This window comes from Homo sapiens, chromosome 20, assembly GCF_000001405.40.
Source record: "Homo sapiens chromosome 20, GRCh38.p14 Primary Assembly".
Taxonomy (NCBI): domain Eukaryota; kingdom Metazoa; phylum Chordata; class Mammalia; order Primates; family Hominidae; genus Homo; species Homo sapiens.
In genome coordinates, this window is record NC_000020.11 from 33,031,171 (window position 1) to 33,052,954 (window position 21,784).

General features: G+C 50.1%; 1 protein-coding gene and 1 pseudogene across 2 annotated transcripts, besides 1 other annotated feature; one reads left to right on the forward strand and one right to left on the reverse strand.

Moving 5' to 3' along the window:
- Positions 1-477: 477 nt before the first annotated feature.
- Positions 478-12,938, forward strand: BPIFB6 (BPI fold containing family B member 6). 2 transcript variants are annotated; one of them, XM_017027663.1, is made up of 15 exons: positions 478-622; positions 1,814-1,913; positions 3,016-3,120; positions 3,593-3,742; positions 3,911-3,974; positions 4,442-4,502; positions 5,275-5,366; positions 6,392-6,568; positions 7,739-7,792; positions 8,177-8,350; positions 9,081-9,148; positions 10,800-10,845; positions 11,645-11,708; positions 12,121-12,197; positions 12,845-12,938. In XM_017027663.1, the coding sequence occupies exons 1-15, from the start codon at positions 478-480 to the stop codon at positions 12,875-12,877; spliced, it is 1,410 nt and encodes a 469-aa protein (XP_016883152.1). In that variant the 3' UTR covers positions 12,878-12,938. The 2 variants fall into 2 exon arrangements, with proteins under 2 accessions (XP_016883152.1, NP_777557.1); NM_174897.2 differs by having other exon boundaries at positions 478-574; positions 12,845-12,877.
- Positions 10,463-10,964: an enhancer, noted in NCBI's record as "H3K27ac hESC enhancer chr20:31629439-31629940 (GRCh37/hg19 assembly coordinates)". NCBI's record gives its function as "activates a minimal SCP1, AML or CMV promoter by ChIP-STARR-seq in primed H9 embryonic stem cells {active_cell/tissue: H9 hESC(primed)}" and the evidence as "EXISTENCE:reporter gene assay evidence [ECO:0000049][PMID:30033119]".
- PUDPP3 (pseudouridine 5'-phosphatase pseudogene 3) lies at positions 16,350-17,024 on the reverse strand (annotated as a pseudogene).

The following is a 21,784-nucleotide window of genomic DNA, read 5'->3' on the forward strand; positions in this document are numbered from 1 at the left end:
TTCCACATGGAAGTGAGCTGAGCTGGAAGAGGTGGGGAGGGACCCTGGCTGTAGGGTCAAGGTGGGGACACAGGGCTCCCCACTCCCACAATGCCGTGTGGGGCTCAAGGAAAGTCTGGAACTCTCTCTGTGGCTCCAGCATTCAGCCGTCCTTGAACCCATGAAAAACTGCAGTTGAACCTTCCTCCAACCCCATCTTGCAGGCTGGTCAGAACACACCATGTCCATGGGGAAACTGAGGCTTACAGAGGGAAATGAGCTAGCTGGGGGTGGCTGGAGGCCCTGTGTTTAATCTGGGGGTTCCTCAATCCCTTGGAAGAGGGCAGTGCTCATGTTTGCTGAACTGGCTGGAGTCTAAAGGCTCTTGGACCCCAGAAACACCCAGGGGGCTCAATCTGCTCTGAGACAGAAGGTCCCCAAGGGGACCAGGGTCTGGTGGGCTGCGCCCAATTCAGGCCCCTTGGCACAGGTGGTGCCATGCTGCGGATCCTGTGCCTGGCACTCTGCAGCCTGCTGACTGGCACGCGAGCTGACCCTGGGGCACTGCTGCGGTTGGGCATGGACATCATGAACCGTGGTGAGCTTGTGGGCCCGGGCGTGCAGCTGGGAGGCGGTGCTTGGGGTAGGTGGTAGGTAGTCACTGCTCTTGGTTGCACATCCTGGAGCATCCCGTGAGCTCCAAGTAAACTTATAAGCAAGTGTTATTATTATTCTCCCACTTTACAGAGGGGAGAAACCAAGGACCAGAGAAAATGGGATGATTTTCCCATGCTCCCCCTGCAAGTTAGAGGCAGAGCTGAAAATCCTGCTCCTTTGGAGTCTCTCCTTGGCCCTGATGGCAGGGGTTTTAGCCACAAGTGGGCTGTGGGAGTGACAGACAAGGGTCAAATCCCAGCAACAACTTGCTGTGTGACCTCAGGCAAGTTACTTGGCCTCCCTGTGTTGCTGTTTGCTCATCTGTAAAGGTGAAATGTAAAGAAATGTAAAATAGGGTGACCAGTCTGTCCCTAGCAGGATAGAATAATCTCTTGGAGGAGACCTTAGTAAAATGTGTTTTCCACCTCCATCCCCCACTCCACTAGCACAAGGGAAACCGAGTCACATCCAGGTACAAAAGGCTAATGACTGTTCTACCAGCTCAGTGTTTGTGCCCTCTCTGGAATTAGCTTGTGACCATAATGGAGGTGTTTCTGGCGGGGTGTTACTTGGGGTTGGGTCCTCCAGGTTTGGGGAATCAGAATTTCTCTGCTTCAGGCCCAAAGTCTGCATTCAAGTCCCCAGAGGAGTCCCCTAATCACCTAGGCTTGGGAGTGGCTGGTCCACAGGATAAAGTCAGTACCCTAGGGTTCAAGAGCTTCACTACATGCCCCCTGCAAACTGCTCCAGTTTCTCTGTCGTGTCTGTCCTCACCCTCCAGCCATGCTGAATCTATCCTCTTCCCCCAACTGTGCCACCTTCTCTCCCACCCACCTTTGCACTTGCTGTGCCCTCTGTCCAGACTGATATCTTTTATCCCTTTGCTTCCTGCTGAAAATTACTATTCCCCTTTCAAGTACCAACTGATCTGTCACCTCCTCCTGGAAGCCTTCCCCAGCTCTTCTCTTCCTACCTAAACCCTCGTGCGGCTCCTACAGCTTGTTACTGTCATTGCTGGTGACTCCATCTTCCCCCATTAGGCTGGGGCGCTGTGGGACTCATCTCTGGGTCTCTGCCATCGTCCAGCCCAGGGTGGGGCACAGTGACGGTGAGTGGCCTGGGATACCTGAGTGATTGGCCCAGGGAAAATCTCTCCAACTAAGTGTCTCCACTCCAGAGGTCCAGAGCGCCATGGATGAGAGTCATATCCTGGAGAAGATGGCAGCCGAGGCAGGCAAGAAACAGCCAGGGATGAAACCTATCAAGGGCATCACCAAGTGAGTAGGGGAGGGGAGCTGGAGGGTGGTGGTTAGGGCAGAGGGTGGTGGGGATTGCTGTGCCCAAGATCTTAGCAGGCCAGGTAATGGAGCTGGTGAGGGATGTGGGGTCTCTTCCCTGCCTTGTGCTGTCTTGCTGTGTGGCCTTGGGTAGGTCACTGCTCCTGCCTGTGCCTGGACCTCCTCAGCCATTCACTGGGGACAATTTCTGCTTTGTAGTGAGCAGGGTCATTTTGAGGAGGAAATGAGGTTGGAAAGTCAAATTTCAACTCTGCATGCAACATGAACTCATTGAATGTACGTGAAATTAAATGAAAACATCCTCAAATGGTAGAGCTGGAAAGGCATCAACAATCATCTAATGACAAGAGGAAACTGGTTCCTCTGCCAGTGCCACATGAGATTGATCAGTAGGGGCTGCCTGAAACGATGCACTTGGGAGGGCTCTGAGGCACTGTCTGCACTCGGCAGGAACTAGGACTGTGATCAACTAGCAATGTCTGCCAAGAGCTCAGGATGGGCAAGTGGGGGTATGTGTGCCACATCTTTTGTTACCCTGGATCTCAACTGGTGATTCTCAAACAGGGGTGATTTTGCCTCCAAGAAGACATTTGGCAATGTCCAGGGACATTTTTCATTGTCACAAGTTGCGGGGACTGGGGGAATGCTACTGGCATCTACTGGGCTGAGGTCGGAGATGCTATTAGACATCCAATAATGCACAAATCAGCCTCATGACAAAGAATTATCCTGCCCAAAATGTGGATAGTGCCACTTTTGAGAAACCCTGATCTAAGCAAGCCTCCCATTTTGTTGATGGGGAAATTGTGGCCCACATAAGGAAATGACACAGCCCAAGGTCACACAGAGTCAGCCATGTGTCCCACCTCCCATATAATGAGTGCTTTCTATATACAAATTGATTCATGTCCAGCCTTTTGTTTTGCATTTCATAATGGCCCCATGAATCATGCTTACCCCCATGACATGGGATAGGAGGCCGGGGTTATCGAAAGTCTTCCCAGTAAAGTGGTGAAGTGGGTGGAGGTCCTGGGTCTTGCCTGCTCAGATCTTATTGGTGTGGCTGCCTGTCCCTTCCCAGTTTGAAGGTGAAGGATGTCCAGCTGCCCGTCATCACACTGAACTTTGTACCTGGAGTGGGCATCTTCCAATGTGTGTCCACAGGCATGACCGTCACTGGCAAGAGGTGAGTGTGGCAGGGGAGGGGCAGCGGGGAGGAGAACGGCCTTCCTGTCTCATCCTTACATGCACATATATTGAGTGCCTACTGTGTACCATCTGAGTGTTGTAATCTGGGATGATGTAGACTTGGTCCCTACCTTTGTCAGGAACCAGACCTAAGCACAATCACAGACTGAGTGACTGGTCTAGGACAGAGGAAGCATTGAACAGTGGTGGCGGATGGTCAGAAAAGGTTATGGGGAGGCAATGACAGCAAAGCAGATTTTAAAGGGTGTGTAGGGGTTCACCAAAACAAGGAGGGAGGGAGAAAAGCTGGTTGTGTCACCTGGGGCAGGTCCCATCCCCTTTTCTGTCTTGTAGGGGTGGTCTCCTACCCTTTCTCCCTCTCAGCTGCTCAGATTGTGAGCAAAGAGAAGGCAGGGAGAGCGGACACCATGGCAGAGATGCCCATGGTGCCCTCCTGCTCTGTCCTCCAGCTTCATGGGAGGGAACATGGAGATCATCGTGGCCCTGAACATCACAGCCACCAACCGGCTTCTGCGGGATGAGGAGACAGGCCTCCCCGTGTTCAAGAGTGAGGGCTGTGAGGTCATCCTGGTCAATGTGAAGACTAACCTGCCTAGCAAGTGAGGGGCTCTGTGGCTGGGGAGGAAGGCCGGTCCATATTGCTATACCCCCCAGCATATCACTTCCTGAGCCATGGAACCCCCTTAACCATGCCCCTTCATGTCCTGTGCCTAAATTCCTGCACTGGTGCACCTGCCCACCTATCCTCGGTGCCTGTGTCCATCTAGCATGCTCCCCAAGATGGTCAACAAGTTCCTGGACAGCACCCTGCACAAAGTCCTCCCTGGGCTGGTGAGTGACCCAGAGAAAGCCTCCACCCCTCGTTGCTGGGACTGCTTAGGCCAGGGCTGGCAAATGCATTTCATGTTGGGTGCTGACCCTGATTGACTGATAGTGGCTGGGAAGGGTTCTGAGACTGTGGCTGGCTCAGTGGAAGAAAGTGCCACAATCATCTAGTGATGTCTGCCATGAACAGAGGAGGAGAAAATGACAGCCTGCATGCACAGCTTGCCAACCGTGCTTTGATGTCCAGTCCCAGGGAAAGAGTCCCGGCTAATTTTTGCAGACTTTGATTTGGTCAACAGATCTGGACTCTAGTCCGAGCTCTGCCATTTACTTTCTGTGGGACTTGGGACCTCAGTTTTCTCCCCAGTCCCTGTCCCACCAGGGCTCTTGGGATGGCCCGTGGTGTACCATTCAGCTGTGTGGAGGCTCTCCATGCAGGGACCCTCTCAGCCCAGTGCCTTCTCTGCTTCCAGATGTGTCCCGCCATCGATGCAGTCCTGGTGTATGTGAACAGGAAGTGGACCAACCTCAGTGGTGAGTGTAGCCCTACCCACACCTTGCCCCTACCTAGGGATATCAGGATAGATAGACTTTGATGTCCCATTCCCCATCCTAGTGCCTGCTTCCAGCCCAGCCTTGGGACTAGAGGAGGCTTGAGGTCATGATGTTCATCCCCCCACTGTCCCGATGGGAGGCCTGAAGTCCCCAGGGAATCTGGGTTCCTTTTCTCTCATCTCCCTATTCAATACTGCATCCTGAACCCCACAAGACTCCAAAGACAGCAGCCCTTCTTTGCTCGTCCACAAGCCTCGTGCCTATGTAGTAATCCCGATGGTAGTAATGCCTGAATCGCCTTTGCTGAGGGGATATACTGCCTCCATCATTTTGGGGTCCCATTTTGGGTCCCAAAGCAGGAGAGAGGAAACCTCAGTGACTGGAACTGAAGAAAACTCATTCATGTCCCCAGCAGTGTGGAATGGGAAAAGTCACTTCACTCTTCTCAGCCTCGGTTTGCTTAGCTGTGAAATAGAGCTGATAATCCTGACCATGCCAGTCTGTTGCAAGGTCCAAGCAGTGATGGCCTTTGGTGAACTCTCAAGCTCTGTGCTGGCTGAGTGATGTGATTTTCCAGGCCAGGAACCATGGCCTCTATTCTACAGATGAAGTTACAGAGGCCCAGAAGTGCTAAGGAATTTGCCTTGAGTCACGTGGAGGGCCAGGTGCAGGTAGCAGCTGGCTGGTGCCAGCTTCTCTGGGCTGTTCCTGGGGTTGGTGCCTCTTTGAGTGGAACCTCCTTTTCACACAGACCCCATGCCTGTGGGCCAGATGGGCACCGTCAAATATGTTCTGATGTCCGCACCAGCCACCACAGCCAGCTACATCCAACTGGACTTCAGTGTAAGCGCCTAGGGCCACCTGGGAGCTGGGGTCTCAGGCTCACTGGTCTGGGTAGTGGGTGATGCTTCTGCCAGGACAGGTGGCTGGACTAGGGCTGTGGAGGGAGGGAGGCCCCTCAAGCCGTGGAGGCCAATGCCATGTGGGTGTTTGTGGACCCTGGGCCTCTCCCTCTTTCTGCTCTAAACGCGAACCTTCAGTGCCCCAGCTGGCTTCTGGGGCTGCTGACTTCACACTCATGATCCCCGCTAGGCTGTTTGCTTCTCCTAGTGAGTGAAGCAAATATTGTCCCCAGTGAATGGCTGAGGAGGTCCAGGCACAGGCAGGAGCAGTGACCTACCCAAGGCCACACAGCAAGACAGCACAAGGCAGGGAAGAGACCCCACATCCCTCACCAGCTCCATTACCTGGCCTCCTGAGATCTTTGGCACAGCATTCCCCACCACTCTCACCTCACCCTCACCCAGTTGTATCCTGCCATTTTGCGGATGGGAACATTGAGACCTTGGGGGAGGGTAGGGCTGGGCTAGGGTCCTGCAGTGAGTTGGTGTCAGAGTTGGGCCCTCACCCAGATCTCCAGAGCTCCAGGCGAAGAGGTGAGATGCATCTTTCAGGAACGTGAAGTAAAATGGCAAGATGTCACCCCGCTGTGAAGTCTTCCTCCAGCAGGATTCTTACACGCCCCGTGTCGATTTCCGCCTGTCTCTTTCTCTTGAGAACAAGGCAGAAATCATGTTCCGAATAAATGAAGCCTCCAACCACTCAGAGCAACTGAGGCTACTAAAGCAGTGCTAGGAGAAAGTGCCCGTGGTTTAGTGACTGACTCCCTTATCCTCCCAGGCCTCAGTCTACCCACCTGTACACTGGGAGGTTTGGCCCACTGTAGCCCATTGTGGTTCTCTTAATAAGATTTAATGATTTGCTGACTTTGGGTTTGGCTGGAGCCCCATTTGCTTGGAGGACTGAGACACTCCTGGCCAACATCCCTCTCGGCCAAGGCTGAGTGTCTCCCTCCTGCTGCCCCATAGCCTGTGGTGCAGCAGCAAAAGGGCAAAACCATCAAGCTTGCTGATGCCGGGGAGGCCCTCACGTTCCCTGAGGGTTATGCCAAAGGCTCGTCGCAGCTGCTGCTCCCAGCCACCTTCCTCTCTGCAGAGCTTGCCCTTCTGCAGAAGTCCTTTCATGTGAATATCCAGGATACAATGGTGAGCTGTCCAGTTCCCCATTTCCATCTGCCTCTGTCCATTACAATGCAGTCCCTGCCTAGTTTTTCTATCATGAAAATTATCCTGGCCTTGTGGGCAACACTAGGACTGGAAGATGCAGGACCGATTTGAGTTTCTCTCAGCAGTTCATCTCACTATCCACCATCCCTCTGTCCATGTAACTACCATCTACTCATCTGTACATCCATCAGTCCGTACAACCAACAATTTATCAACCTACATCTCTAATGTCTTGGTCATCCATCCACCTTCCTTTTGTCCAAGCAACACCCACCCACTCATCTTTCTAGCTGTCATGTATTCATCATACCCTAGGTTCTATCCTTCCAACTAGCATCCATCCATCCCTTCATATCATCCACATAACACCTACTACAAAGTCTGATACTGTTGAATGAATGAATGTATGCACCTGCCATGTACCACCCAAACACCACTACATCCACCCAACTTTCCTTTATCCATCCTCCTACTCGTCCACTCATTCAGCCATCCATCCATCCAACCATCCACCCACATGTCCGTTCATTCCCCGCTGATCTATCCATTCATCTTCCCAACCATCTGTTTACCATTCATCCATGTACCTTTCCATCCATCCTCCCATCCATCAGTCCATTCATCTATTTTCCCATCCATTTATCATTCTACTCCACCATATTCCCATCCACTCATCCTCCTATCCACCATTCCTGTCATTCATCCACCCACCCATCTTTCCGTCCACACATCATCCATCCATGTATTCTTCCTAGATTTCCACCTACCCATCCATCCATTCATCATCCTCCCACCCATTTACCCACTCCTCTGTTTATCCGTTTCCCCATCCATCTGTCTATTCATCTCCAAATATGTCTACCCATCCCCTTTACCCATCACATCTACCCATTCTCCCATCTATCTTCCTGCTTTTTCATCCAACAACATTTTCTTAGCATTTGACCTTGTGCTAAGAGTTATGAGCATTGAAATGTGTAAGTCATCACCTGGGCTGCCCAGAAGGCACAATATTTAGTTAAACTCAGAGCGTTAAGTATTGTGATGAAGGGAGCCTCAAAGGGTACACCTTGTTAAGTCAGTGGAGATGTTTGTTAGGATGGGCCAGGGAGGACTCCAGCAACCCTAACCTTGACTTTTATTCTGTAGATTGGTGAGCTGCCCCCACAAACCACCAAGACCCTGGCTCGCTTCATTCCTGAAGTGAGTGCCCCACCTCCCCATCACCACTGCACCCTGTCCTGCCCTATTGTCCTCCAGTCTGTCCTGCAGTGGGACTTGGGAGACAGCTTTTCATGCCACATATTCCTTGTCCAATGCTGAAACATCTTTTCTTCTTTATAAAGTACTTTTTGGGTCCAACATAGAAAACAGCTCTACTTTTGTGCATTGTACTTTCTGTCCAATAGAGAATAGCCAAATTGTGTATTTTGTTTCTTTTATTTCCTGATAGACACATCCTGGCCTTTGCATGTTGTACTTCCTGTGTCCAACGTAGAAATCACCTATGTCTTGAGGGACCCCTTATTTCAACTGAAGCCACCAGTCTAAGGACTGGCCCTGAGTGAAGTGTTCTGGTTTCTGTAGGTGGCTGTAGCTTATCCCAAGTCAAAGCCCTTGACGACCCAGATCAAGATAAAGAAGCCTCCCAAGGTCACTATGAAGACAGGCAAGAGCCTGCTGCACCTCCACAGCACCCTGGAGATGTTCGCAGCTCGGTGGCGGAGCAAGGCTCCAATGTCCCTCTTTCTCCTAGAAGTGGTGAGGGAAATCGTTCCCTTCCCCATTTATTCCCAATCTCTTGGATATTCAGGGCTGGAGGATGGGATTTTTAGTTGACAGCCAAGTCATGGATCAGAGGGATCAGTTAATCTTGATTATGTCTGATCCTTGGCTCTGCCACTGAACCTTTGAATGGCTGGAAAGCCCAGAAAATGGAGGGTCAGTGGCTTAGTCCTTCCTTTCTCTTTCCTCCCTCCAACATTCTTCAGCAACTACAAAGGCAGTGAAGGGTGCACTGAAGGGACTGTGGGTGCCTAGGGAGATTCCCAAATCCAATTTGGGGAAATCACAAAGGGCTTCCAAGAGGAGGTGATAGCTGAGCTATGTTTTGAAGGTTGAGCAGGAGCTTGCCAGAGAAGGGTTGGGGACAGAGAGTCTTACCAGGGAGACTGGGGACAGAGGACACCCCAGGCAGAGGTTCCAGCATGTGCAAAGGCCTGGATCAATAGTATGATGTGTGCAGGGACCTACTGACAGTGCCAGGTATTTTGGGGGATGCTGCCCTGACTCAGGACAAGGAGGGATGAGAAGCCTGGGCTGGCGCTACAGGGAGATGGCTGGGTTCAGTTCCTGAGGATGGGCAGAGAGAAGATCCCCTGCTTTGTCTTGGCAATGGTGGTAGTGCTGGGAGGGTGGTGGTCTCTGGCTTTGCCAGCCCTGATGGTGGGGAACCCACTGCCTTCTCCCTGCTTCCTCCCCACCATGCCAGCACTTCAATCTGAAGGTCCAGTACTCAGTGCATGAGAACCAGCTGCAGATGGCCACTTCTTTGGACAGGTACGACCCTGCTGCCCAATGCTGGCATCCCTGTTACCTTCACATTTGGCCTTCTGATCTAGCACACCCCACACTACCGAGCTGATCCACCCAGCACACCCCCAACTACCAGGCTGCTCTAGCTACTTTTCCTGCTCTAGAACCCTCAATGGCTCCTCATTGTCTGCATAATCTTTTCTCAAATCTTAGCCTGGTACTCAAGGCCCTTCTCAAGTTCTTCCACCTCTACCCTCACTCTTCCCCTAGGCTCTTTTACAGTGAATCTGGTCATGGGCCCATGCCCCCTTTTCCATTAATAAGCCTTTACCCATGCCATTCACCTGAGAGTCAGGGTCCAGCTCAAATGCCACCTCCTCCACGAAGCCTTTCCTTATACTAATAGCAGCTAACATTTATTTATGGAGCTCTCTCTATATGTGAGGCACTGGCTGCATACATTATATTCATCATCCTATTTCATTCTTACACTTTGGGAGGAGGGTACTACAAACAACTTAGCTTAACATTCGGTCCCTATTAATTCTTGTACTTGCCTTAATAATGAATCACATCAGGATTAATTATGTCAGGATTCTTTCCGTTGCAAGAGAGAAAATTCCAACTTTAACTGGCTTAAGCCCCAAAGGGAATCCTTGGCTCATATAACTGAAAACTTTAGGAGTAGTTCTTTTTTTTTTTTTTTTTTTTTTGAGACAGAGTCTCGCTCTGTTGCCCAGGCTGGAGTGCAGTGGCGCAATCTCGGCTCACTGCAAGCTCCGCCTCCCGGGTTCATGCCATTCTCCTGCCTCAACCTCCAGAGTAGCTGAGACTACAGGCGCCCGCCACCACGCCTGGCTAATTTTTTGTATTTTTAGTAGAGATGGGATTTCACCCTGTTAGCCAGGATGGTCTGGATTTTCTGACCTCATGATCCACCCGCCTCGGCCTCCCAAAGTGCTGGGATTACAGGCATGAGCCACCACACCCGGCCTAACTTTAGGGGTAGCTCTGCCTTCAGGTGTGGTTGGATCCAGGCACACAAATGAACTCCTTGAGAATCTATCTCCTTCTTCCTCTTGACTTTGCTACCCACTTTGTTGACTAAATTCTCAGGCAGCTTCTGGGTCATAGACTCACCCGAGGGACTTTGGGTTTAGCCCATCTGAATGACTTGGAATCAGAGTGGAAAATGGAGGATGTGTTACTGGAATAGAGAATAGATGAGCAGAGCCACCAGATGGCCATCACATGGCCTGTTCTGGTGGCAACATATGTTAGTGCCTCCTGGAGGCTGTACAGGGACGGGGCTGGGGGAAGGGCTCCTGTTCTGTGTCCTGCAAGGATCTGAGACTGCCCAGTTGGGCTGTAAACCTCTGCATAGCTGGCCTTGGGCAGGAGCAATAGACACAAATGGGGGTCCCAGAGGGAAGAGTCAGGACCAGTCTAGTGGTTTGAGCTTTGAGAAATCATGTGCTGTAACGAAAGGTAGTGAGTGTCCCATCACAGGTAGCAGGCAAGCAGACTCAGGAGCACCTGGTCTGAAGGCTGTAGAGGGGACTCCTGCATCAGGGAGGCGTTGGGGTGCTTGGGACCCCCTTCTCCAGCGCCAGGGCCACTGGCTCTGACCGTTCTTTCCCCTCCCCGCCTGGCTTGCTTCCCCACTCCCCCACAGATTACTGAGCTTGTCCCGGAAGTCCTCATCGATTGGCAACTTCAATGTAAGTGTCCCAAGTGCTCTTGCCTGTCCGGCGTGAGGACAAGACTGGGCCTATTCTCCCTCGGAACTACAGGGCCGAGGCCCTGAAATGGAGGCAGATGAACAGAGCAAGGCCACTGTGAGGCGTGGCGCACCTGACTTGCCGTGTGAGCTTAGGAAAGTCCCTTAGCCTCTCTGAATCCCTGTTTCCTTTTCTGGATAGAATCTGGACATCTCCCTGGATTGGTTTTAAAAACATTGTCATGAACAGTGGCAGCCTGGGTTGGCCTTGGTTGGCCAAGCTGTTATTTTTATTAGTCTCTGTAGCCTCAGGGCCCAACACAGAACCTGACCCCAGGAGGTGCCAACACCACCACCACTTACTCTGCGATCATGTGCTTTATCCAAACTCTTTTAATCCTCATGGAAACCCTGGGAGCAGGTGCGATTATAGTTCACTTTCAAAGGTGGGGAAACTCAGCTATAGAGCGGTGGTAAGTGAGGGACTCATCAAAGCTACTGAGTTTCTGTAGGACCAGGACTGGGGTCCACAGAGCCACTTCTTGTCTCATGAGTTTTCCTGTTCCTGCACCATGGCCCAAAGCCCCACATGTCATAGGTACTAAGCAGAGGTGAAGGACACGGGTCTACAGTCCAAACAGAGCCAAGGCCAGGCCCAGTTTTGATGCCAGCTGGACAAACCATTTGATGTCTAATATTCACTTCTGTGGTCCCCAGGCCTAGCCAGAGAGGGCTGAAAAGATCTGTTGAATGGTATTGGACTGAATGGAATGTGGATGCTTTCTCTTTCTTCTTTCCAGGAGAGGGAATTAACTGGCTTCATCACCAGCTATCTCGAAGAAGCCTACATCCCAGTTGTCAATGGTGAGGGTTCCAAAAGGCTTTGGACCATGGTGCCAAGAAGCACTTTAAGCAATAAGGGATGCCACCTGGGTGGTCTCAAAGCCCTATCACTGGGCCCAGATGGGGGAAGCTAAAAGGGAGTGGAAGATAATTGCTGAATCTTTGAAGTGAATATAGTCTTAATGTCACCTGTCTGAAGACAAATGCCTCTCCCACAATTTGGGCTCTGACTTTTGACCCCATATCATAACCCCACATCTTGACCTGGGATGTAAATACATTGCAAATCAGGCTTATTAGCTCTTTGCTTGTACAGCTGGCAGGCATCATGAATCAATCACTGCACTATTTCCCACTATCCCTACCCCAGGCTGCCACTCCTTAATCAACTGCACAGCAGTCAGGCTGATATGACTCTTACTGTATTTCTCAGATGTGCTTCAAGTGGGGCTCCCACTCCCGGACTTTCTGGCCATGAATTACAACCTGGCTGAGCTGGACATAGTAGAGGTGAGAGGAGGGGCTAGGGGAGGTCATGTCAATCAACACTGTCAGCCAGTGAGTGATGAGCAAGAGCCTACCTCTCTCAAACTGGAAAGGGTAGAGCCTGGGAGGGCAGGTGGCCATCAATATAATCCTGCCCCTCAGAATCTAGAACACTCCTTGACCAGGGATTCCATAGAAGGATACTTGGACTCTGCTACTCTCTTCTCCTGCCATCTTGGGCCAATTACTTCACCTCTGTCTGTGTCTCCATTTTCCGGTGCATAAAATGGAGATGATAATACATTATTGTCCTCATAGAGCTGTTATTATGCTTCACTAAGATCATTTACCTAAAGGCACATAGTAAGTGCTGAATAAATATTACCTTTGTATTGCATGCCAACCTTTGAGCTTCGAGTGGTAAATGTACATTTTTCTTATCTGATCTCTCTGCTCTGGGAGGTGGGGGTGCTTGTCCTCACTTAACAGTTGAGAAAATTGAGGGTAAGAGAGGTGAAGTGACCTCTCCAGGGTCACAAGGCAAGTCTACTTCAACCTTTGCTTAACCACCACACTGGTTTCCATTTCCTGACAAGGGGCCCAGTTCCATTCCATCCCTGGGCCTAGGTGGTCCCTGGTCATTGCTCTCCTACCCCTTTGCCTTTTGCCAGAATGCCCTGATGCTGGACTTGAAGCTGGGCTGACCATGGCAGGACTCCCCTGCCAGCTGCCTGCTTACCACCAACCACCTGCACCCCATGGAGGAGACCCCCTGATTGGAGCCAGGTGGGCCTGGCCCCCTACCACTGGTGGCTGCCTCCTTTGACAAGGAGTGAATGGGTCAGGCCTGGGCTGGAGCCTTGCCAATAAACAGGAGAAAGGCTCTTATAAATATCTGATACTTCGGTCTCTTTATTTTTTTAAGTGACAAATCTGTGTGTGGCGATTCTTTCCTTTTGGTGGGTTTTGGGGTCTAAGACCAGCTTGGGATCTGGAGGGAAGCTGGTCACAGCTTGGGGGAGTTCTTGGGCACATATTGAGTACCTGCTCAATGCCATGCCCAGGGCTTTACTTGTACCATCTCGTTTAATCTACACAATAACTCTATTGGTGGAGGGCAAGTGTCATCCCCACCTTACAGATGAGGAAATTGAGGCACAGGGAGGCCAACTCCCTTGTCCAAGGTCACATAGTTTAGCAAGTGGCAAAGCTCTTCCCACCTTAGCTGTGTGCAAAATCTTGGCAACTTGAAGATGGCTGTATTCCCTTGGAACCTGTTACACCAGGAGCCTTCCCTGTGTCACCTTCTTTAATCCTCACAGCAGTTGACGGGGGTGAGAAAGGTCCTCATTTCACTGATGAGATTGAGGCTCAGAGAGGTGGCATGACTGGCTTAAGCCACCTGGCAAGTCAGGAGGCAGAGCTAGGATTGGAATTTGGGCTGTGAAGCCAGCTTGCCTGGGTTCAAATCCTTCCTCTGCCTCCTCTTTGCTGTGTGTCCTGGGCAAGTCACATCACCAATCTGAGCCTTAGTTTCCTCACCTGTAAAATGAGAATGATGGCAGTACCAACCTCTGTTGCGGGAAGTCAGGGAACCCGAACGGAGGGACCAGCTGAAGCCATGGCAGAAGAATATAATATAAATTGTGAAGATTTCATGGACATTTGTCAGTTCCCCAAGTTAATACTTTTATAATTTCTTATGCCTGTCTTTACTGCAATCTCTGAACATAAGTTGTGAAGATTTCATGGACATTTATCACTTCCTCAATCAATACTTTTATAATTTCCTACGCCTGTCCTTACTTTAATCTCTTAATCCCGTCATCTTCGTAAGCTGAGGATGTATGTCGCCTCAGAACCCTGTGATGATTGTGTTATCTGCACAAATTGTTTGTAAAGCGTGTGTATCTGAACAATATGAAATCTGGGAACCTTGAAAAGAACAGGATAACAGTGATTTTCAGGGAACAAGGGAGATAACCATAAAGTCTGACTGCCTGCTAGGCCGGGCAAAACAGAGTCATATTTCTTTTCTTTCAGAAAGCGAATAGGAGAAATATCGCTGAATTCTTTTCTCAGCAAGGAATAACCCTGGGAAAACGAATGCATTCTCAGGGGGAGGTCTCTAAAATGGCCGCTCTGGGAGTGTCTGTCTTATGCAGTTGTACATAAGGGACGAAATACGCCCTGGTCTCCTGCAGCGCCCCCAGGCTTGTTAGGATTGGGAAATTCCAGCCTGGAGAAATTCTAGTCAGACCGATTGTCTGCTCTCGAACCCTGTTTCCTGTTAAGATGTTTATCAATGACAATGTGTGCCCAGTGGAACATGGAACCTCATTAGCAATTCTAATTTTACCCTGGCCTTGTGATCTTGCTCTGCCCCCATTTGTCTTGTGATATTTTATTGCCTTTGAAGCACGTGATCTCTGTGACCCACACCCTATTCATACACTCCCTCCCCTTTGAAAATCACTAATAAAAACTTGTTGGTTTTGCAGCTTGGGGGCATCATGGAACCTGCCGACATATGATGTCACCTCCGGAGACCCAGCTGTAAAATTTCTTTCTTTTGTACTCTTTCTCTTTTACTTAGGGAAAATAGTAAAGAACCTACATTGAAATATTGGGGGCTGGTTCCCTCGATAAACCTCAGTACCAACCTCAGCAGAGTCATTGTGAGGATCACATGAGTGAAATCTTAAAAGGTACTTAGTACAGTGCCTGGCACAGAGTAAGTGCTCAACAAATGTTAGCCACAGGTGGGTTTTTGAGTCAGAGAGATGTGCACAAGTGTTTTTGTGTTGGTGTGTGGGCAAGTAACTATGTGGCCCTGAACCAGCGCACGTATCAGTGTATAAATAGCCTGTGGATGAGTGACCTGGTGGGAGGGTCTGTGCAGAGGCAGGGCCAAGAGTGGAGGTTTGTGTGTGAAAGGCCCCTGGTGTCCATCCGTGCCTGTGTGTGTCTGTGTTCCCATGTTAACTTGCACATAGTCTGTGCCAAGGGTGTTTCTATGTCTTTCATTCATGTGAGGATCAGCTCCCTGACATTTGCCGTATCTGTCCCCAGTGCCTCTCCTGGGATTCACACTGATGCTATTCTTTAAACTGACTCCTTTTTTACATAAATTATGTTTACATGTAATCAAGTTAAAATACATCTTAAATGTATTCTTTAAAAAAATCTGTCAAACGATTAAACTAAATCAATTTGTGAAGGAAACAGTAAGATGTTGCATCTAGCTTGAAGGAGAATTCAAAGTGCAGACACATACACAAGCCATCAGGGATGTGGAAACGAATTTGCCAGAGGCTTGTTCTGTCCTTCACATGCATTCCTGTGGTTCATCTACAGCTTCCAGAGTTGAAGAGTAGCTGAAAAATACACTATTGATGATACAGCTCAGAGGCAGGCAATGAGTAAAGATCCAGAGATATTTTGAGGTAACAAAAATAATTTTAACGCTAGTTAATGAGGAAAATTATTTCTTAGTGCTCATCAAAAACATGACTTTCCCATTCAGGTTTATTTGTAAATCAGATAGAACTACCATCTCACTTTATCAGTTCTATCCAATGTTAACATTAACACCAAGAAGAGGAAGCAGTATATGACAGAAATATATGTGTATGTGTGTATATATATATATATATACACACACACATACACACATAAATTGTATACATATATGGATAGTTTACATTTCCCAGGCAGTGTTCAGAAAAACTAAAATAAAAAAAGAAACAAACACAAATATAATTTTATTTTGTCTTAGGACAAATATAATTATTTTGTCTTAAGAAAATCATATATTTTACATATATATATATACACATACATATATATAATGCCTACATGCATATTAATATATATGTATGTATGTACATTCACTTTATCATATGCTACATCCGATTGATTTTTTAGATGGTAATTCAAGTTTGATCTTTGTTCTGGGCTACTGTGTTTTCTCTCAACTGTCAAGTTACGTCTTATCAATACTTTAGAGAGTGGGTCAAGGCAACACGGGATGAAAAGGCAGACTTCAGGAGGCTAAAATCACTAGTGATGTAGGGGGCAATGTGGGAGTTATCGACTTCCTCTGTCTTTCCCCCAGTAGTGTTGACCATGAGAGTGGCCTAGGAGGACCACCATGTAGACTCCGACTCCCTCTCACTCGTAGTGGGGCAAACCAAACAGCTGGGGCTGGAAGTCCTGCAGGGAACTCAGCAACGGGGAGGCCTTTCTGGTCAGGTCTTGGCTCAAGTTTCCATCTGGAACCATGACCACCTGCATCCTGGCGTCCAGGGCTGCCTCCACCTTGTTGGGCACATCTTCAAAGACAGGGCACTCCTCCACAGGAGGAGGAAGAGAGAACCTCCTGGCACAAGTCAGGAATATGGCAGGGTCGGGCTTGCTGCTCTTCACTTCGGGTCGTCTCCCAGCATGATGTGATGGAAGACTGAAGAGTTCTTGTGCCTGCTTGTCTTCACCTCGAAGGATGCAGACTTTGAGCTGGTGGCCACGGCAAAGGGGATGTTGTGTTTCCGAAGGTGGAGGATGAGTTTCTCAGCCCCCTGGCATGAGCGCTGCAGTGGGGAACACATCCCTTGGCCTGGCTTGGCTTTCTTCCAACAGCTCTTCCACCAGGAGCTGCAGGACATCCACGACCACCTGCGCCACCTCCAACGCCTTCTTACCCATGACCAGGGACTTCACATCCCCGGTGTATTCCTTTTCATAGCGATCACATATGTCTTGAAACACCACTGAACAGAGCCTTTCAGTGTCCAGAAGCAGGCCATCCACGTCGAAGAGGAGGTGGGTGGTGGGCCGCAGGGGTACAGCCATAATGCCTCTGCTTGGGCTGCATTGGGGCAACCAGGAGGTGTGCACATACCCACCAGCCCCGCACACGCACTGCAGGTTCCAGAAAAGGACTTCTAAGTGGAGCCTGCAAATCAGTGTCACTTGCTTAATGTCTTTTTTAAAAATCTAGACTGGGTGCAATGGCTCACGCCTGTAATCCCAGCACTTTGGGAGGCCGAGGCAGGCGGATCACGAGGAGATGGAGACCATCCTGGCCAACATGGTGAAACCCCGTCTCTATTAAAAATACAAAAATTGGTTGGGTGTGGTGGTGCGCGCCTGTCGTCCCAGCTACTCTGGAGGCTGAGGCAGGAGAATCACTTGAACCTGGGAGGTGGAGGCTGCAGTGAACTGAGATCGCACCACCACTCCAGCCTGGGTGACAGAGCAAGACTCCATCAAAAAAAAAAACAAAAAAAAAACCTTTAACTATGGGGAAAAAAATGTATCGGGGCCTCCTATGATCAGCTGGTGCCCCAGCCCTGGAAATTATGGGGGTGGCGGCTATGTGTGTCCATATGTCTGTTGGGGTGTGTGTGTGTGTGTGTGTGTGTGTGTGTGTGTGTGTGTCAGAATGTCTGTCTCCCTGGGGTGAGGCTCTGGATGTGGGAGATTGGGGGCGTCTTTGTGAGTGGGTCTGTGTCTGGGCACATTCATGTGTGTGTGGGTGGTGTCGTGTAGCCAGAGGCCTGATTAGGTCACTGCTCCCCTAGCCATGGGGCCCTGGCAGGTAAGCCCTCTCCCAGCCTAGCCCAGGCCCATGCCACAGAGGAAGGAGGGCCCATCTTGCCTCATCCCAGATGCCAGGGCTATTCCCCTGTCCCTCAACATGAGCTCTAATCCCGTCACTAATCGTCTCCCCAGCTCTGGGACAATGGCAGCCTTGAGGGAGGCCTGGCAGGTTCAGATGCCAGGGTAATCCATGGGCTGCTGATGCCTGGCCCTGGGCGTGCCAGAGACGCCCCTCTGCCCCCAACCCACCCTTGGATGTTCCCACAGCACACTTATGGCTACCTAAAGCCTTGCTGCCACCCTCTCCAGGCTCAGTGTGCTGATGGGGAAACCAAGGCACAAGCTGTTAGGGTTTGAAGGCCTGGCTTCTTGCCAGGCCTTGGGTACTGTGTGGCCTTGAACAAGCCACAACTCCTCTCTCAACCTCAGTTTACTCATCTTTACAGTAAGGAAGGGGTTGGATGCTCTGACCTCTAATCTGATGTCAACAGTCTTTGAGTGGTCAGTTCCTCCAGATTCACCCTGAGCAGAAAATGTGGGCTGGACTGGCAAGGGATCCCTACTCCATGACCCCACTTCCTGGGGAGGCAGTGATAGGAGGTCTGCTGGGCACTGCTCACCTCCCAGAATCCTCCAATCCCAGATAAGGAAGTAGAGGCCCAGAAAGATGAAGTGGCCCGCCCAAGGGCACGTGGCACATGTGGAGCTGGACTTGAACCCTATCTTCCTGAGTTCAAGTCTCTTCCTCACTCCTTCACACCACACTCAGCAGTGGAATGCAGTGTTCTCCTTTCAAGAAAGTGAGGCTCAAGGCTACAGAGTCAGAAAAGAGCAGAGGGAGGTCTTCGATTCTGGGCCCACAGCTATTGACCCCCCGGGACCTGTCAGACAGCCTCACCCTGGGAAAATGAAGCCACACGATGTTCCCCACACCTGTGTTCATACCAGTACCCACTTACCTTGCCTTCTCCCTTCTCAGCCCACTCTCAGCTCGAGTAGCATGGGGAGGCCTCCCAGGGATCTCACCACCATCTGCACCCTTGGCCCCCCTCCCTTGATGCCTTAAATTTCATTTCTAGGATACCTGTCCTCACAGCCATACCAATTAGGTGAGGAGGGCCACCTTTAATATGAGCCCATTTTGCAGATGGGAGAACTGTGGCTCTGTGAGTTAAGTCACTCAATTGTGAGTGACAGAGCCAGAATGTGGACCCAGAAATTTTGGCTCCAGAGCCTTTACTCTAGGAACTAATGCCCAGGGGTATTTCTCCTCATCAAGTCCCTCCCCTGCTCTAATCCCTTCCTTGGCTTCCCATCACCCTCACCAGGGATATCAAAAGGGCTGCACATCATATTGCCTTGGGGGCTTGTTAAACGTCCCCCTAGGTGCTTGTCAGTGGAATCAGTGTTGCCAAAGGTGAGGCCAAGAGATATGTATTTTAATGAATCCCTTCCCGTGGGCAGGCCCAATCCCTGACCTGGCTTTGGTGCATGAGGGGATATGGGGACGCCTGGGGAGCTTATGGGTGTGTCAGAGTCCCCTGTTGGGTGGGGATCGGGAAGGAGGAGGAGAGACGAAGCAGGCCAGAAACAACTAGGTAGCATTTTCCTCTCTTCCAAGAGGCTAGGCTGGGCAGTGGTTAAGACAATGAGTGTTAGACGGTCTGGCTGGACTCCTGTGTGACATCCGGCAAGCTGCTTACCCTTGCTGAGCCTTGGCTTCTTGAGTGTAAGAAGAGGAAATAATAACAGCACTGATCTCACTGGGTCTTTGTGGTGACTAGATGTGCTCACATACAGCAGGTGCCTTGTACACGGTATGTGCCGAATAAATACTAGTGTTAGTTTTCTTTCCTCTTCCTTCAAACAAATGCCTTAAAAACACTGGGGATACCCAGCACAGATGAGGCTGTGGAGTAGCAGCATTGACCACGTGCAATGGCATAATGCTCAGGGGAACCATAGCCATAGAGAGTATGGCTAAACATGCGCATGCATGCTGTGCTCCAGCAATTCAGCTCCTTGTTATTTACCCAAAAGAAATGAAGAATAAAAACATAGGCCCAAGCTGGGTGGTGGCTCATGCCTGTATTCCCAGCACTTTGGGAGGCTGAGGTGGGAGGATCACTTGAGGTCACGAGTTCGAGACCAGCCTGGCCAACATAGTGAAACTCCGTCTCTATGAAAAATACAAAAATTAGCCAGGTGTGGTGGCAGGTGCCTGTAATCCCAGCTACTCAGGAGGCTCAGTCAGGACAATTGCTTGAGCCCAGGAGGCAGAGGTTGCAGTGAGCTGAGATCACACCACTGCACTCCAGCCTGGGTGACAGAGCAAGACTCTGTCTCAAAGAAAAAAAAATGTCCACAAACAAGAGTGTTCATAGTAGCTTCATTCATAATAGCCAACACCTGGAAAGCCCAGGCACCACTGGACAGGAAAATGGATAAGCAAACTGTAGGGATTCGCATAATTGAGTAGTACACAGCAAAGAAGACCCAGTCACTGCCTCACACAATGGGAGCAGGGAAGCCACGCACATAAAGCACACAGCGGTTGCACTTAGTGACCCCCAGGAGCATGCTGGACTCAGCACTGAGTTAGCGGTCAGGACAGTGGTCACCACCAGGAGGGCAGTGACTTGGAGGGGACACAAAGAGGGCTTTGAGAGGGCTCCATTTGTAAAAATTCATCACACTGTATACTTGTGATCTGTGCCCCTTTTTGTGTACATGGTTTAGATTTTAGTAAAAAGTTTATCTTTTAAAAAAGTGTGGTGTGGTTGAGTAACCTGGTCCAGGGCCTAAAGTCATCAGAATGAACATTGTAGGGTGAGGGCTTTAGAGATGATTGAGGTAAACAAGGCAAATGCCATCCTTCTTCCCCATCTTAGCAGGCAGAGGTTCAGGGCCCCACGCAGGAGACAGACCCACAGACTCACAGAGCCACAGACACAGTGACAGCTTGGCATGTCACAGATTCTGAGAGAGGAAATCCCAGGGGACTGTGGGAGCTCAGAGGTGATACCTCATGCAGCTTGGGGCTCATGAAGGCTTCCTGGAGGAAGGGATGCCTGAGCTGGTGCCTTCAGAGGAATTGCCAATGAAAGCCAAAGTCTGTAAATCCATACAGTAGCTTCCAGGGCTTCATCACACATTGTTTACCACCTATCTCTCACTCCCCTCCAATCACATGGCCCCCCTGCTGTTCCTGGAACACCACCCTAGGCCTTTGTGTGGGGGTCCCTCTGGTCAGCAGGCTCTTCCCAGACAGCCATCTGACTCCTTCCCTCTTCTCCTTCTGGTCAAAAGTCACCCCTGCTTCAATATGAGGCCTTCCCTGACCACGCTATTGAAAATGGCACCCACTCCCCACACTCCTGAGCCCCTTCCCTGCTTTATTTTTGTTGTTAGCTTCCGACTTACTGTATTTTTTTTGAGATGGAGTCTCACTCTGTCGCCCAGGCTGGAGTGCAGTGAGGCAATTTTGGCTCGTTGCAACCTTCATCTCCCAGGTTCAAGTGATTTTCCTGCCTCAGCTTCCCAAGTAGCTGGGATTACAAGCATGCGCCACCAAGCCTGGCTAATTTGTGTGTGTGTGTGTGTGTATATATATATATATATATATATATATATATATATATAATTTTTTTTTTATTTTTTTTGAGGCAGAGTCCCTCACTGTCACCCAGGCTGGAGTGTGATCTCAGCTCACTGCAAGCTCCGCCTCCTGGGTTCACGCCATTCTCCTCTCTCAGCCTCCCAAATAGCTGGGACTACAGGCTCCTGCCACCACACCCAGCTAATTTTTGTATTTTTAGTAGAGACGGAGTTTCACCATGTTGGTCAGGTTGGTCTTGAACTCCTGACCTTGTGATCTGCCTGCCTCGGCCTCCCAAAGTGCTGGGTTTACAGGCGTGAGCCACCGCGCCCAGCCCCAACTTACTGTATTATGTGCTTATTTGTCCCTTTCAGAGCTGTGCTTTCCAATATGACAGCCAATAGCCATACAA

Excerpts from the sequence above, each read along its gene's own strand:
- BPIFB6 (XM_017027663.1), top strand. The coding sequence starts at position 478 with ATGCTGCGGATCCTGTGCCTGGCACTCTGCAGCCTGCTGACTGGCACG. Across the intron at positions 5,367-6,391 it reads ACATCCAACTGGACTTCAGT|CCTGTGGTGCAGCAGCAAAA; the intron begins GTAAGCGCCTAG and ends GCTGCCCCATAG. Across the intron at positions 7,793-8,176 it reads TGGCTCGCTTCATTCCTGAA|GTGGCTGTAGCTTATCCCAA; the intron begins GTGAGTGCCCCA and ends TGGTTTCTGTAG.